A 14,056-nucleotide genomic window follows, 5' to 3' on the forward strand; every position below is an offset into this window, starting at 1 on the left:
TTTTTTGGGGGGATGGGGGTGGGAGGTAATTATTGGGATGGCATTCTGGTGACATTTCCAAAACTGAGGACTTGATATCTCTATCACAAGAAAGAGAAACAGCCAAGAGTATTTAAAGAACATTTATTCTGGATAAAAATAAATAAAATTCTGCAGTTTTATTTACCTCAATAATAATCAAGGTATTGAGAAATTCAAGATAGGGAAGTGGCTAATGCTGGATAAAAATTACCAGAAAAATCATCTTGAAGGAAGTTGAAAATACAGGCCAGTAGATGTCCAATTGGTCTTCTAAGAGATAATTTAGGCATTATAGCAAACCCATACTTTCGTTTGAAATTTTGCAAGTGTTTCTCTGAATTCAGTGTCATAAAGACTAAGGAATTTATGAAGCAGGAAAAAAAACATAAAACAATGTCTTGGGAGACTAATGCAACATCAATGATTACCTCTCAGATTTAATGATTTTTTTAAAGATATTTTGGTATTAAATCATCATTTGCCTCAGAATAACAACAAAACTAATATATTAAATACAGCTGGTTTTAAATATAAAAACAGTGGTTAGATTTGTTTTAGAAAATTTCAAATGTAAGCCTTCCATTTGGAAGAGCAGCACTGTTTACACAGGTAGAACACTTGTCTGTAATTTTGGATTGGCTTAGAATAATCTCCACATGTCAAAACCACTAATTCTGCTGTCATGAACTGAATGGACACGCCACAAAAAATCACTCACCATAAAAGACAGAGCATTTTTTTTCCCCATATGATCCCACAAAGTCATGCGGAGGTAATGGCTTAGGAGTGATTCTGTAACAGGGTTACCTCTGAAATTAGTTCCTGCAAGTGTGCCTGTAGATGCAATACCATGTGGCATACATATTTTAAATGTGGAAATAAACTAGAAAAAAAGCCATGTAATTTAATATAGACATCTAAATAATAGACACTGACACTGGTTCCAAAGTGGTTTAAAATAAAAAATCTTTCTAGTTATAATTCATAATGCATACCAGAACACTACTTTCTATGTGAGTCATCAAAGGAATAAGGGTTTGGGGGATCAAGAAATATTAATAATGTATTGCTCCCACATTTCTTACTTTCTGCCTTCACAATTAAAGATGTATTTTGATGATTAAATCTATATCCCATTTAGTGAATAAGTAATGCTTAGTACCTCTCAAATACTTAATTGATACCTTATTCAGTGCATCTTACTGAGAATTTCCAAGACCACCTACATTACCATCTGTATTATATATTGTTGTTTCTTGTATTTTGGATGCAGATTTTGAAAAGAAAGCCAGGAAATTGGCTCTAGCTTCATGCTATTATTTTCTACTTTGAAATGGTTACTACTGCTTCCAAGAGAGGTTTCTCTAAACAAAAATTACAATATTAAATTAAGGAAGCAATTTAAAGAGTCACTACACATATCATATAACATGACATTTCTGCCACTTTTCAATGATCCTGAATCTTGTCTTCCTTTGTTGCCTCTATTGAGACCGCATGGTGACAGCTGTTTGGTTCTGCTCTCCCTGCATTAGGTGAAATAGTTTATCACGTCTCCCATATGATATGATTGGAGAGGTGCTCAAAATGTCTTCCATTCTGTAATTATTCTTACCCCATAAGCCATTACTGTACCTTAAGCCTACCTTAAAATCACGCTCTTTTCCATAAGAAAATTTCCAACTAATTGAGAAGACAACTTTAAGCGATAACATACTAATTCAGTACATCTTGATAATTGAGAAGATTAAGAGAGATGTTCAGAATCAAGAGATAGCCCCTTTGAAGACAGACATAGATATGGCATCATTACTTGGCAAGGGGTTATGGTGAATTGAATAGTGTCACCTCAAAAAGATACCCTGGTGTCCTAACCCATGCTATCACCAAATGTGACCTTATTTGGGGTCTTCACAAATAAGGTCTTTTTAAATAAGTTAAAATGAAATCATTAGAGTGGGCCCTAAACTGATAGGACCAGTGCGCTTTTTATAAAAAGGAGAACTTGAACACAGGACAGACTTGCACAGAAGGAAGATGATGTGAAGACACAGGGAGAACATGTGAAGATGGAGGCAGAGACTGAAGTTGTGCTGTCACAAGCCAAGGAATACCAGGGATCCACGGACACCACCAGAAGCCAGGAAGAGGCAAAGAGGGATTCTTCCCCACAGGCTTCCGAAGGAGCATAGATGTGCCAAGACCTTGATTTTGGACTTCTGGTCTCCAGAACTGTCATAGAATCAATGTATACTATTTTCAATCACCCAGTGACTGGTATTTCCTACACCAGTCCTAGGAAACTAATACAAGAAGAAAAAAGCTATCAGACATGAAATAAAAGGGAAAGATGCTGAGAAGTAAAGTAAAATATTTTTCAGACAACTGCTTTTTAAAATAATTTATCTTACTATTTATCAGTTTATTATCTCCTCACTGCAGATGATTTTGAAAATACATAAGAAGATTTTAAAATTTAAAATAAATTCGTCAACTAAAGAAAACCTTCCTTGACATTTTTATAAACATCCTTTTAGTTTTTGGTTAACTCATATGTGCATTTTTTTAAGTCAAAAGAAACCTATATACATAATTATATTTTATTTTAAAGACGTAACCTATTCTGAGCATTTCCTCATAAAATAAATCTTTGTAAACATCAATTTTAATGCCTACAGAATAGTCTATGATGTGACTGAACTCTAATTCACTTAACTGTTCTGTCAAAGAACACTTTGTTTTTTCTTCCATTATAAATTTTCTATAAAACATATCATCATTTGAACATATTTTTAAAAACTGTCATATATTTGGCTCAAATGGGTAAACACTTGGGGTATTTGAAATGCATTAGCAAACAGTTCAATTCCAATACTCATCCGCAGTACCTAATAATGTTTATTTTACCACATACTTGGTAGTATTAAATATTCTCATTACAATTTATTTTTATGTGTGAATTTAGCAAATATAAAAGTTTCTCAGTTTTTCAGTGGCTATATTGTTTACTATTTGGGTTGTACTTCTCTGTTTATTTACATTTATTTTTGTCATTTAAATTTCCAGTTAATTTTTTTATCTATTGGAACCTTAATTTTTTTATATATTCATATGAACTCTTTTTTGTTGTGTTTATTCCAAATGACCCTTTTGTATTGCTTTGTTTAATTCTATTCAATTATTTATTTTTTACTGTAATGCAGCTTTGAATTTTTAAATAAGTCAAATCTAAAGCTGATTTTATTTCTCATGTTTTCAGATGGTTTTAAACTCAGAAAGTTGTTTAAGGATTACCTTAACGTGATTAACAGAGTACACACTCTAGACAAACCTCCCTTACCAAATGCTGAACAGTATACTTTTAAAAAAAACATTCATTAGAACTAGGAATAGAAAAGTCATAACCTCAGTGGACCAGAAATAAATCATTGAAAGGTGGCAGACAACAGAATGAGATTAAAGGAGGGAGTCACTGCTCAAAAGCTATATACAAGAAAACTGATAGAAAAAATAAAGATGGTGGGTTGGGGGATGTAGGGGGAAGTTTTTCCAAGCTTGGACATGATGCATGTGTTAAGGAGAAAGGGACCATGAGTCAATTAACAGAGCCTTGGAAGACGAGACTACCCCAAAGACATGCAACCCTTCCCTCTCTGTCTTAGTTTAAGGACAAGTAGAGGTTTTTGTGGCCAGGCACAAGCCGTGAAATTGGTCATTTGGGTCAGAGAAACATGGCAATGTACTGAAGAGCTAGAGACACCCAGGAAGAAATGTAAAATGTAAAATTCTGTGACCAGAAAATTAACTTCTGATGTAGTTCTTTCTATAGCATCCTACCTCTCACTAGTTTGCCCAGTAAAATGAGCACACAAGAAAAAAAAAAAAATCTGGGCACATAAGCAACAAAACTCCATGAAAAAAAAGACATGTGAATGTCAATAAATAACACCTAATGAAACAGCATGAATAGAACACACAACTTTAGAATAGACAGAATTATCCTCAAAGTGATGAAGAAGAAATTTAATACACTTCCCAAAACACAAAAACAGCTAAGAATAAATTTGGCAAGTACTAAAATTTGTTAAAATAAATAAAATTAGCAGACAGAATCGATGTCAGAATGGACTCAGATGAGGAGTGAATTAGTGAAGTACAAGATCAAGTGAAAAATCCTTCCTAGTTCAACCCATAAAGGACAGAGAATTAAAATGTATGAAAATAGAAGTTAGAAAAAAAGGGTGATAGATCTAAAAGTTCCAATATATGTCTAAAGTAATTTCATTATAAATAGAATACTCAAAATTAGAAAGGAGGAAATAATAAATACTATCAGAATTGAAGAAAGGTGTGCATTAATCTTGTTAACTGGGTGCTTAACATGTTGTAAATACATGAAACAAAGCAAAACTTCATACCCAGACATACTGGTAACATTTTAGAAAACCCAGGATCAAGTGAAACTTACTATGAGTTTCAAGATGAACAAAATTAGAGACTCTAAAAGACAAAGTATCACATTGACATTGGAATTCTAGCTGGCAATTCTGAACATAATTGCCAGAATTCTGAATATATGATCTGATTTAAAAAAAGGTCTGATTTAGAATTTTCCAGAACCAAATGAATTATATGTGTGAGGACAATACGACTGTTTCAAACCTCTAGGACTCACAAAGCTTACTCTCAAAATTACTAGCTGAAGAAATAGTGTATGATAGATTTTTATCACAAAATTAATCCAAAAGGAAGACGAGGAAAACGAGAAACACAAAAGAATGAGGAAACTATAAAGGTTATTGAATTAGACCAGAAAATTGAGGTTAGTACAGCCTGAAGATTGTAAAAAATGATTTCAGAAAGCAGTAAGAAAAATTGGTAGTGCCTGAATAGATCCCAACAACAACAACAGAGAATTACACATACAAGAAATGAGAGAAGGCAAATTTTGCTTGAATGGAAGTGTAGATTAAAACAAAAAGATGTTTCTTTTTTGTCTACCAAATTCAAAATATATAACAAGTTTTATGATATAGGGAAAATGGAAATATTTTGTCTACCAAATTGGAAAGCTATAACAAGATGTATGGTATAAGGAAACTGGAAATATCACTGATGCAAGCTGATAGTTTTCTGAGTTATATATTAAAAGTTAACCATATTAAAAGTGATTGAAGTTCAGTCTTTTGATATAGTGTATTATTGATTGGATTCTTTAGTTGCCAGCAACAGAAACATTGGGGTGTGTGTGTGTGTGTGTGTGTGTGTAACACATAGTTAATTCTCATTATTCATGATAGCTATGTTCCATAAAGTCACCATGAATATTAATTTAGCAGATATCAAACTATTGCTCCAAGGGGAAATACAGGATTAGGTTCCTGTGAGCCTGTGGTCACAAAATTTTTGTCACTCCAAACACCACTTGTGTTACCTAGGTTTGTTTGCCAAAATCTTTGAAAAACAAGCCAGTCTCATTACCTTTGAAAACCTGCTGTTGTACATAACCCTTTTTCTGTATGACAGTTGGCAAATGTTTTTTAATTGCCTTGACTGCCAGTTTAACATTTTCCATGTAGCATTGCTTTTTGAAACATGCAAACCAGCCAGCACTAGCTGAGAATGGTTTAACATTTTCTTGACCATGGATAAGGTGACCATACATATTTTTGGGTTTTAACCTCACAACAATGCTGACCACTATGCTTCTTAACAATTCGTAGTCATCACATGAATCCACACGTTTAACTACTTTTTTTGTCTTTTCCATAGTTTCAATACATCCTGTGTCTATGTTACTGAGAAGTGACAGCGTGCTGGCAGTCCTCAGAGCCCTCGCTTGCTCTCGGCACCTCCTCTGCCTGGGCTCCCACTTTGGCGGCATTTGAGGAGCCCTTCAGCCCACCACTGCACTGTGGGAGCCCCTTTCTGGGCTGGCCAAGGCTGGAGCCCACTCCCTCAGCTTGCAGGGAGGTGTGGAGGGAGAGGCTCGAGCGGGAACCGGGGCTACGTGTGGCGCTTGCGGGCCAGCTGGAATTCCGGGTGGGCGTGGGCTTGGCGGGCCCCGCACTCGGAGCAGACAGCCAGCCCTGCTGGCCCCGGGCAATGAGGGACATGGCACCCTGGCCAGTGGCTGCGGAGGGTGTACTGGGTCCCCCAGCAGTGCCAGCCCACCGGTGCTGCGCTCCATTTCTCACCGAGCCTTAGCTGCCTTCCCGCGGGGCAGGGCTTGGGACCTGCAGCCCGCCATGCCTGAGCCTCCGACCCACTCCATGGGCTCCTGTGCGGCCCGAGCCTCCCCGACGAGCACCACCCCCTGCTCCACGGCACCCAGTCCCATCGACCACCCAAGGGCTGAGGAATGCGAGCGCACCTTGCGGGACTGGCAGGCAGCTCCACCTGCAGCCCTGGTGCGGGATCCACCAGGTGAAGCCAGCTGGGCTCCTGAGTCTGGTGGGGACGTGGAGAGTCTTTATGTCTAGCTCAGGGATTGTAAATACACCAATCAGCACCCTGTGTTTAGCTCAAGGTTTGTGAGTGCACCAATCGACACTCTGTATCTAGCTGCTCTGGTGGGGCCTTGGAGAACCTTTATGTCTAGCTCAGGGATTGTAAATACACCAATCGGCACTCTGTATCTAGCTCAAGGTTTGTAAACACACCAATCAGCACCCTGTTTAGCTCAAGGTTTGTGAGTGCACCAATCGACACTCTGTATCTAGCTGCTCTGGTGGGGCCTTGGAGAACCTTTGTGTCCATACTCTGTATCTAACTAATCTGATGGGGACGTGGAGAACCTTTGTATCTAGCTCAGGGACTGTAAATGCACCAATCATCAGCACCCTGTCAAAACAGGCCACTGGGCTCTACCAATCAGCAGGATGTGGGTGGGTCCAGATAAGAGAATAAAAGCAGGCTGCCGAGCCAACATTGGCAACCCGCTGGGGTTCCTTTCCACAATGTGGAAGCTTTGTTGTTTCGCTCTTTGCAATAAATCTTGCTACTGCTCAGTCTTTGGGTCCACGCTGACTTTATGAGCTGTAACACTCACCTTGAAGATCTGCAGCTTCACTCCTGAGCCCAGCGAGACCATGAGCCCACTGGGAGGAACGAACAACTCCAGATGCGCTGCCTTGAAGAGCTGTAACACTCACCACGAAGGTCTGCAGCTTCACTCCTGAGCCAGCGAGACCACGAACCAGCCAGAAGGAAGAAACTCCAAACACATCTAAACATCAGAAGGGACAGACTCTAGACGCGCCACCTTAAGAGCTGTAACACTCACCGCGAGGGTCCCCGGCTTCATTCTTGAAGTCAGTGAGACCAAGAACCCACCAATTCCGGACACATTGCTTTAGCACTTTCCAAAGCAATCTCATGTACACATCAGTGAGTTTTCTCTTTCTTTTTCTAGACATACGGTATTGTTGACTCATAACGTTGAACTCATGGCCAACAGCACTGTAACACATGCCTGAACAAAGATTATCTAGCACACATTTCTTCTTAAGGAACATCACAGCCTTCTTGTGCTTAGAAATATTAGACAGCACTTCAGCCTAACACATATAAAGACCATTTTATACATCAAAGTCACCCCCCCGAAAAGCACAAAAATGTGAAAATGGCATTACGTAGACTGTGAAAGGAGCACATTTACAGTGTGAGAGCTGAAACAAGAAGGTGGAGTCTTGCCTCGTTCCACCCCATCAGAGAATGTATGTGTGGGTGACACAAAGATTTCAATGCCCTGTACATGTGAGCGTATAACCACAAAACCATAGTGAATATTAATTTTGGAGTTACAGATACATTTAGCATGCAAATTCATAAGTACTGAATAATGAGGATTGACTCGTGTGTGTGTGTGTTTGTGTGTGTGTGTATGCATGGAGAGGGAGAGAGATTTATTAGAAGGATATGAGTCAACACTCATGGAATTAAAGAAAAATTGAACAATGAAGCGTAAGAAGTGGTATGAAACAGGCATGTGGGGATCCAGTTGGAAGGGAATTACAGAAAGTTTCCTCAGATGTCATAATAAGCATGAATCAGATTTATGGATTTTCAGTGCCCTTTTTTTTTTTTTTTTTTTTTGGAGATTCAAATTCCAGGAAGAGAGTCTGATGGGTCTTGTTAGGTCCATGACTCTCCTCAGGTCAGGCAAAGGCTGCGTACCAAGGCTGACGTCTCATCAAGACTGCAAGCATCAGACAATTGAGTTGCTATTACTAAAACAAAGTGCCATGAATTTGAAAATGCAAAAAATAACATATGTGCACTCTCTTCTCTATATCTATTTCCTTAAATTTATACCAAGGAAAGAATCATGGATTTAGGTTGGTGTTTATGTTAAAAATACTTAAATAATTTAAGTCTGAGTCATCTAATTGTTATTTGCACCATGATTTGAAAACACATATTTACGTGATTTCTGTTGCTGCATAAAAAGTTACTACAGATAGCAGCTTAAACCATTTATTAATTATCTCATGATTTCCATGGGTTAGGAGTCCAAGGGTGGCTTACTGAGTCCTCTTCTCAGGGTATCGCGAGGCTGCAATCCAGGTGTTGGCTGGGCTGCATTCCATTCTCAGGGTTCTCTTCCAAGCTCATGTGGTTGCCAGCAGAATTCCATTTGTGTGTATGTGTGATTATAGGAGTGAAGTCCCTCTTTTCTATGATTTTATGTGATTATAAGACTGTCAGCCAGGATTTGCTTTCTGCTCCTAGAGGCCACTTGCAGTTCCTGGCCTTATGGCCTCTCCTAGTCCCTCTCTCCACATGGCAGCTTACTTTTTCAAGACCTGCAGAAGAATGTTTCTCTTTGGGGATGGCCAAGCATTTTTTTTTTTTTCAAGAACTATCTTGATTACATTATACCTATCCAGGATAATATCCCTTTTGATGAACTCAAGGGACCTTAGTTATAGCTGTAAAATATTTGCACCTGTTATATAAAGTAGGGTAATTATGGTACTAATACCCCATCACCTCTGCCAGGTTCTATTCATTAGAATCAAATCACAGGGGAGAGGATAATGCAGGGTGTAACACCAAGAGTTGGATTCTCAGGGGCATCTTAGAGTTCTATCTACCACTTTGAGGAATATTTAATTTATTGAAAAAATGTTTTATATATAATATTTAATTTAGAAAAATCCAAAACACCTTACATAATATTAAAACAGTGTAACAGTTAAAGGACAATGTAGAACTAAACTAAATACAACCAATGGCCTTCCCCTGAGTTGTATAATTAAGAGTGATTTTTGTTTATTCTTCACAGCTTATTTATAAATTCCATATTTTCTACAGCAAGCAAGTGATGCTTTTATAATTAGAAATGTTGTATCTAGGTTAAGAGCATGGATACTGGAACCAACTGACTGAACTGTAATTGAGATCTGCAATTTAAAAGCTCTGTGATTAGGGTAAACTATCCACACTGAGCCTTTGTTTTTGTTTTTTAAACAAAGAATCTGACTCCATTTCTGTTGATTGCTATCAGCTTTCATGCCCTGCCACTCCTTATGGACCCTCTGCTTCCTTTCTAGAGAATGTGATAAGAGAGCCTGAGTGTTCCCTCCTGTGGCTCTGGTAAAAAGTTTAAACCATACAAAAACCCTAAAAGCCAAGCCCGTCTCCTTCCCTACTCTCAATCCATTTCGGGACTGCTTGGGAGCCTCCCCTCTCCTCAGAAAACCTCATTATGTGGGTAACAAATATGTTCATACCCTCTGTGCATGTGTAGTGTCATCATTCTCAACAACTCAACCAACTTTTGAGTGGGGAGAGCCCATTCTGCCTCTTCAGGGTGACCACAACACTTTATTTGTGAAATGGAGTTATTAATAGTATTGACACACTCATTTATTATAAGGAAAAAATTTATTAATGTATATAAAAGCACTTAAAACAGTGCCTGCACATAGTAAATGCAAGGCTCTTGTATCGGTTCGAACCCCAAGAGCATGCCAACAAACAACACAAGGTGGTGTGGAGCAACACACTGTTTTTAATGAGCGCCTGGGTGCAGATGGGCTGAGGCCTAAAATGGCGTCAGCAACAAATTAGGACGAGGCAGGGGTTTTATAGTCTCCTATAAACAGGAAGTGTCTCAGTCTGACGTAACTGCTACGCTGTACCGCTGTACCCGGACGGCCTCTCTTTTGGTCTTCAGCGGGTACCGTTTCTTCCAGCCAGCTCTCTTCCTACTTCTGCTGTCTTGCTGACGCAAGTGCCTTGGGACTGGGCCTGAGGAGGGGGGAGTTATTAATTCCCTTAAGCTTTCAGGCCCCTGGGAGAATCGTTCAGTAAACATCATGTAAGTAAGTGTTAACTGTAGATACTTATAAATATTATTGGTGATCTGATTATTTGCCTTATGCTGCTGATTCTGCCAACCATAATTGTTTTACAAAAGAAAATTAACATAATATTGTATGCTATAGCAAAAATTTTTTAAGTCCTTTAGAAAAGAAAAAAACTACATGCTATATACTGTAATGTAATTTAGAGAGTAAATTGTGTTTTCAGTCATTTCCAAAATTAAAGAAAATGGACTTCATTTATTATAATTTGAATTTTGATTATTTTTAGCCTTTAAATAACATATAATTATACATCAAGCACCTATTTATCTAAAACTTAAAGTTACAGCATGCTTTTACAAACACTTTTCCTTAATCTATGGATACATAAAATGTTTGTAAATGGGTTAGAATCAGGAATTTGTTCTTTAACCAGCTTCTGGAATTTATTCATGGAGATCTGTTAGGTTTCCTATTTTTAAATCTGGAGGACTATAGAATGAAAAAAATATTAGAATGATGGCTTATGGCATTAGAAATTTTTATAGCAGCTTTATTCATGATTGCCAAAACTTGAAAGGAAGCAAGATGCCCTTCGTAGGTGAACGGATAACCAAACAGAAGTAGAAGTACATCCATACAATGGAAACTACTTAGAGATAAAAAGATATGAGGTATTAAGCCACAGAACAACATGGAGGAGCCTTAAATGCACATTGCTAAGTGAAAGAAGCCAATCTGGAAAGGCTACAGACTGTATGCTTCCAACAATATAATGTTCTGAAATAGCTGAAGCCATGGTCAAAATAAAAAGATCTGTGGTTGCCCAAAGCTCAGGGGAGAGGAGGTTAAGGATACACAGATGGAGCACAGAAGATTTTTAGGGCAGTGAAACTATTCTGTATAATACTGTGATAGTGGATACATGTCATTATACACTGCTCAAAAAAGAAAACTTGAGGTCAATATCCTTGATAAACATCAATGCAAAAATCCTCAAAAAATACTAGTAAATCAAATCCAGAAGCACAACAAAAAGCTAATCTACCGTGATTAAGTAGGCTTCATCCTGAGGATGCAAGATTGGTTCAACATATGCAAATCAATAAACGTGATTCATCACTTAAACAGAACTAAAGACAAAACCACATGATTATCTCAGTAGATGTAGAAAAGACTTTTGATAAAATTCAACATTCCTTCATGTTAAAAACTTTCAATGAACTAGGTATTGAAGAAACATACTTCAAAATAATAATAGTCATCTATGACAAACCCACAGCCAACATTATACTGAATGGGCAAAAGCCGCAAACATTCCCCTTCAAAACTGGCACAAGGCAAGATGCCCTCTCTCAACACTTCTATTTAACATAGTATTGGGTGTCGTAGCCATAGCAATCAGGCAAGAGGAAGAAATAAAGGACATCCAAGTAGGAAGACAGGAAGTCAAACTATCTCTGTTTGTAGACAACATGATTCCATATCTAGAAAACCCCATAGTCACAGGCCCTAAACTCCTCTAGCTGATAAACAACTTCAGCAAAGTTGTAGGATACAAAATCAACATACAAAAATCACTAACATTCTTATATACCAACAATAGCCAAATCAGACAGGCAATACCATTCACAATTGCCACATATACAAAATTAAATACCTAGGAATATAGCTAATCAGGGAGGTGAGAGTTCTTCACAATGATAATTACAAAACACTGCTCAAGGAAATCAGAGAAAACACAAACAAATGGAAAAACATCCCATGATCACAGATAGGCAGAATCAGTATCATTAAAATGGCTATACTGCCCAAAGCAATTTATAGATTCAATGCTATTCCTATCAAACTACCAAAGACATTCATCACAGAACTAGAAAAAACTATTTTATAATTCACATGGAACCAAAAAAAGAGCCCGAATACCCAAGGCAATCCTAAGCGAAAAGAATAAACCTGGAGGCATCATGCTACCTGACTTCAAACTATACTACAAAGCTACACTAACCAAAATAGCATGGTACTCATACGAAAACAGGCCCATACCAGTGAAACAAAATAGAAAGCCCAGAAATGAGGCTGCATAGCTATGACCATCTGATCTTTGACAAAGCTGACAAAAACAAGCAATGGGGAAAAGATTCCCTATCCAATAAATGGTGCTGGCATAACTGCCTAGCCATAGGCAGATTGAAGTTGGAGCCCTACCTTTCACCATATACAAAAATAAGTCAAGATGGGTTGAAGACTTAAATGTAAAACCCAGAGCTATAAAAACTCTGGAAGATAACCTAGGCAATACCATCCTGGACATAGGAACAGGCAAAGATTTCATGACAAAAACTAGCAAACAAATCTCAATAAAAATTGACAAGTGCTATCTAATTAAGCTTAAGAGCTCTGCACAGCAAAAGAAAGTATCAACAGAGTAAATGGACAACCTACAGAATGGGATAAAATATTTGCAAACTATGCATCTGACAAAGGTCTAATATCCAGCATCTACAAGGAATTTAAACAAATTTATAACAGAAAAACAACCCCATTAAAAAGTGGGCAAAGGACATGACCAGAAACTTCTCAGAAAGAGATATACATGCGGGCAACAAGAATATTAAAAAAAGCTCAATATCACTGATCATTAGAGAAACGCAAATCAAAACCACAATGGGATAACATTTCACACCAGTCAGAATGGCTATTATCAAAAAGTCAGAAAACAACAGATGCTGGCGAGGCTGCAGAGAAAAGGGAACACTTACACACTGTTGGCAGGAGTGTAAATTAGTTCAACAATTGTGGAAAGCAGTATGGAGATTTTTCAAAGAGCTAAAAGCAGACCTACTGTTCAACTCCACAATCCCATTACTGGGTATATACCCAGAGGAATATAAATCATTCTACCATAAAGACACATTCATGCAAATCTCCATTGCAGCACTATTCACAATTGCAAAGACATGGAGAAATGTCCATCAATGAGAGATTGGATAAAGAAAATGTGATCGTGTACACCATGGAATACTATGCAGCCACAAAAAAGAATGAGATAGATCATGACTTTTGTGGGAACATGGATGGAGTGGAGGCTATTATACTTAGCAAACTAATGCAGGAACAGAAAACCAAATACTGCATGTTCTCACTTATAAATGGGAACTAAATGATGAGAACTTACAAATACAAAGAAGGAAACAACAGACACTGGGGTCTACTTGATGGGGAGGAAGGATAAGGGAGAGGATTAGAAAAGATAACTATTGGGTACTGGGCTTAATATCTGTGTGATGAAATAACATGTGCAACAAACCCTCATGACACACGTTTACCTGTGTAACAAACGTTCACATGTATCCCCGAACCTAAAATAAAAGTTAAAAAAATTAAAGTCTATTTTTTTAAATAATATGTTAGAATGATGACTTGAAACATTCTAAATTTTCTTTTAAACTATCAAAGAATGATTCAATTAAGTTGTGTTGGTCAATTTTTGCATTGCTATAAAGAAATATCCAAGGTTGGGTAATTTACAAAGAAAGGAATTGTATTTTGGCTTACGATTCTGCAGGTTGTAAAAACATGGCGCCAACAGCAGTTCAGCTTCTAGTGAGGCCCTCAGGAAGCTTACAATCATGGTGGAAAGCCAAGGTGGGAGCTGATGTATTACATGGAGAGAGATGGAGCAAGAGAAAGCAAGGGAGGAGGTGCCACACTCTTTTAAA

The 14,056-nt window shown here is 37.8% G+C and overlaps 1 annotated feature.

The window, feature by feature from the left end:
* Nucleotides 5,614-6,114: an enhancer, noted in NCBI's record as "H3K27ac hESC enhancer chr6:54843646-54844146 (GRCh37/hg19 assembly coordinates)". NCBI's record gives its function as "activates a minimal SCP1, AML or CMV promoter by ChIP-STARR-seq in naive H9 embryonic stem cells {active_cell/tissue: H9 hESC(naive)}" and the evidence as "EXISTENCE:reporter gene assay evidence [ECO:0000049][PMID:30033119]".

The sequence above is a fragment of the Homo sapiens genome, chromosome 6, assembly GCF_000001405.40.
Source record: "Homo sapiens chromosome 6, GRCh38.p14 Primary Assembly".
Taxonomy (NCBI): Eukaryota; Metazoa; Chordata; class Mammalia; order Primates; family Hominidae; genus Homo; species Homo sapiens.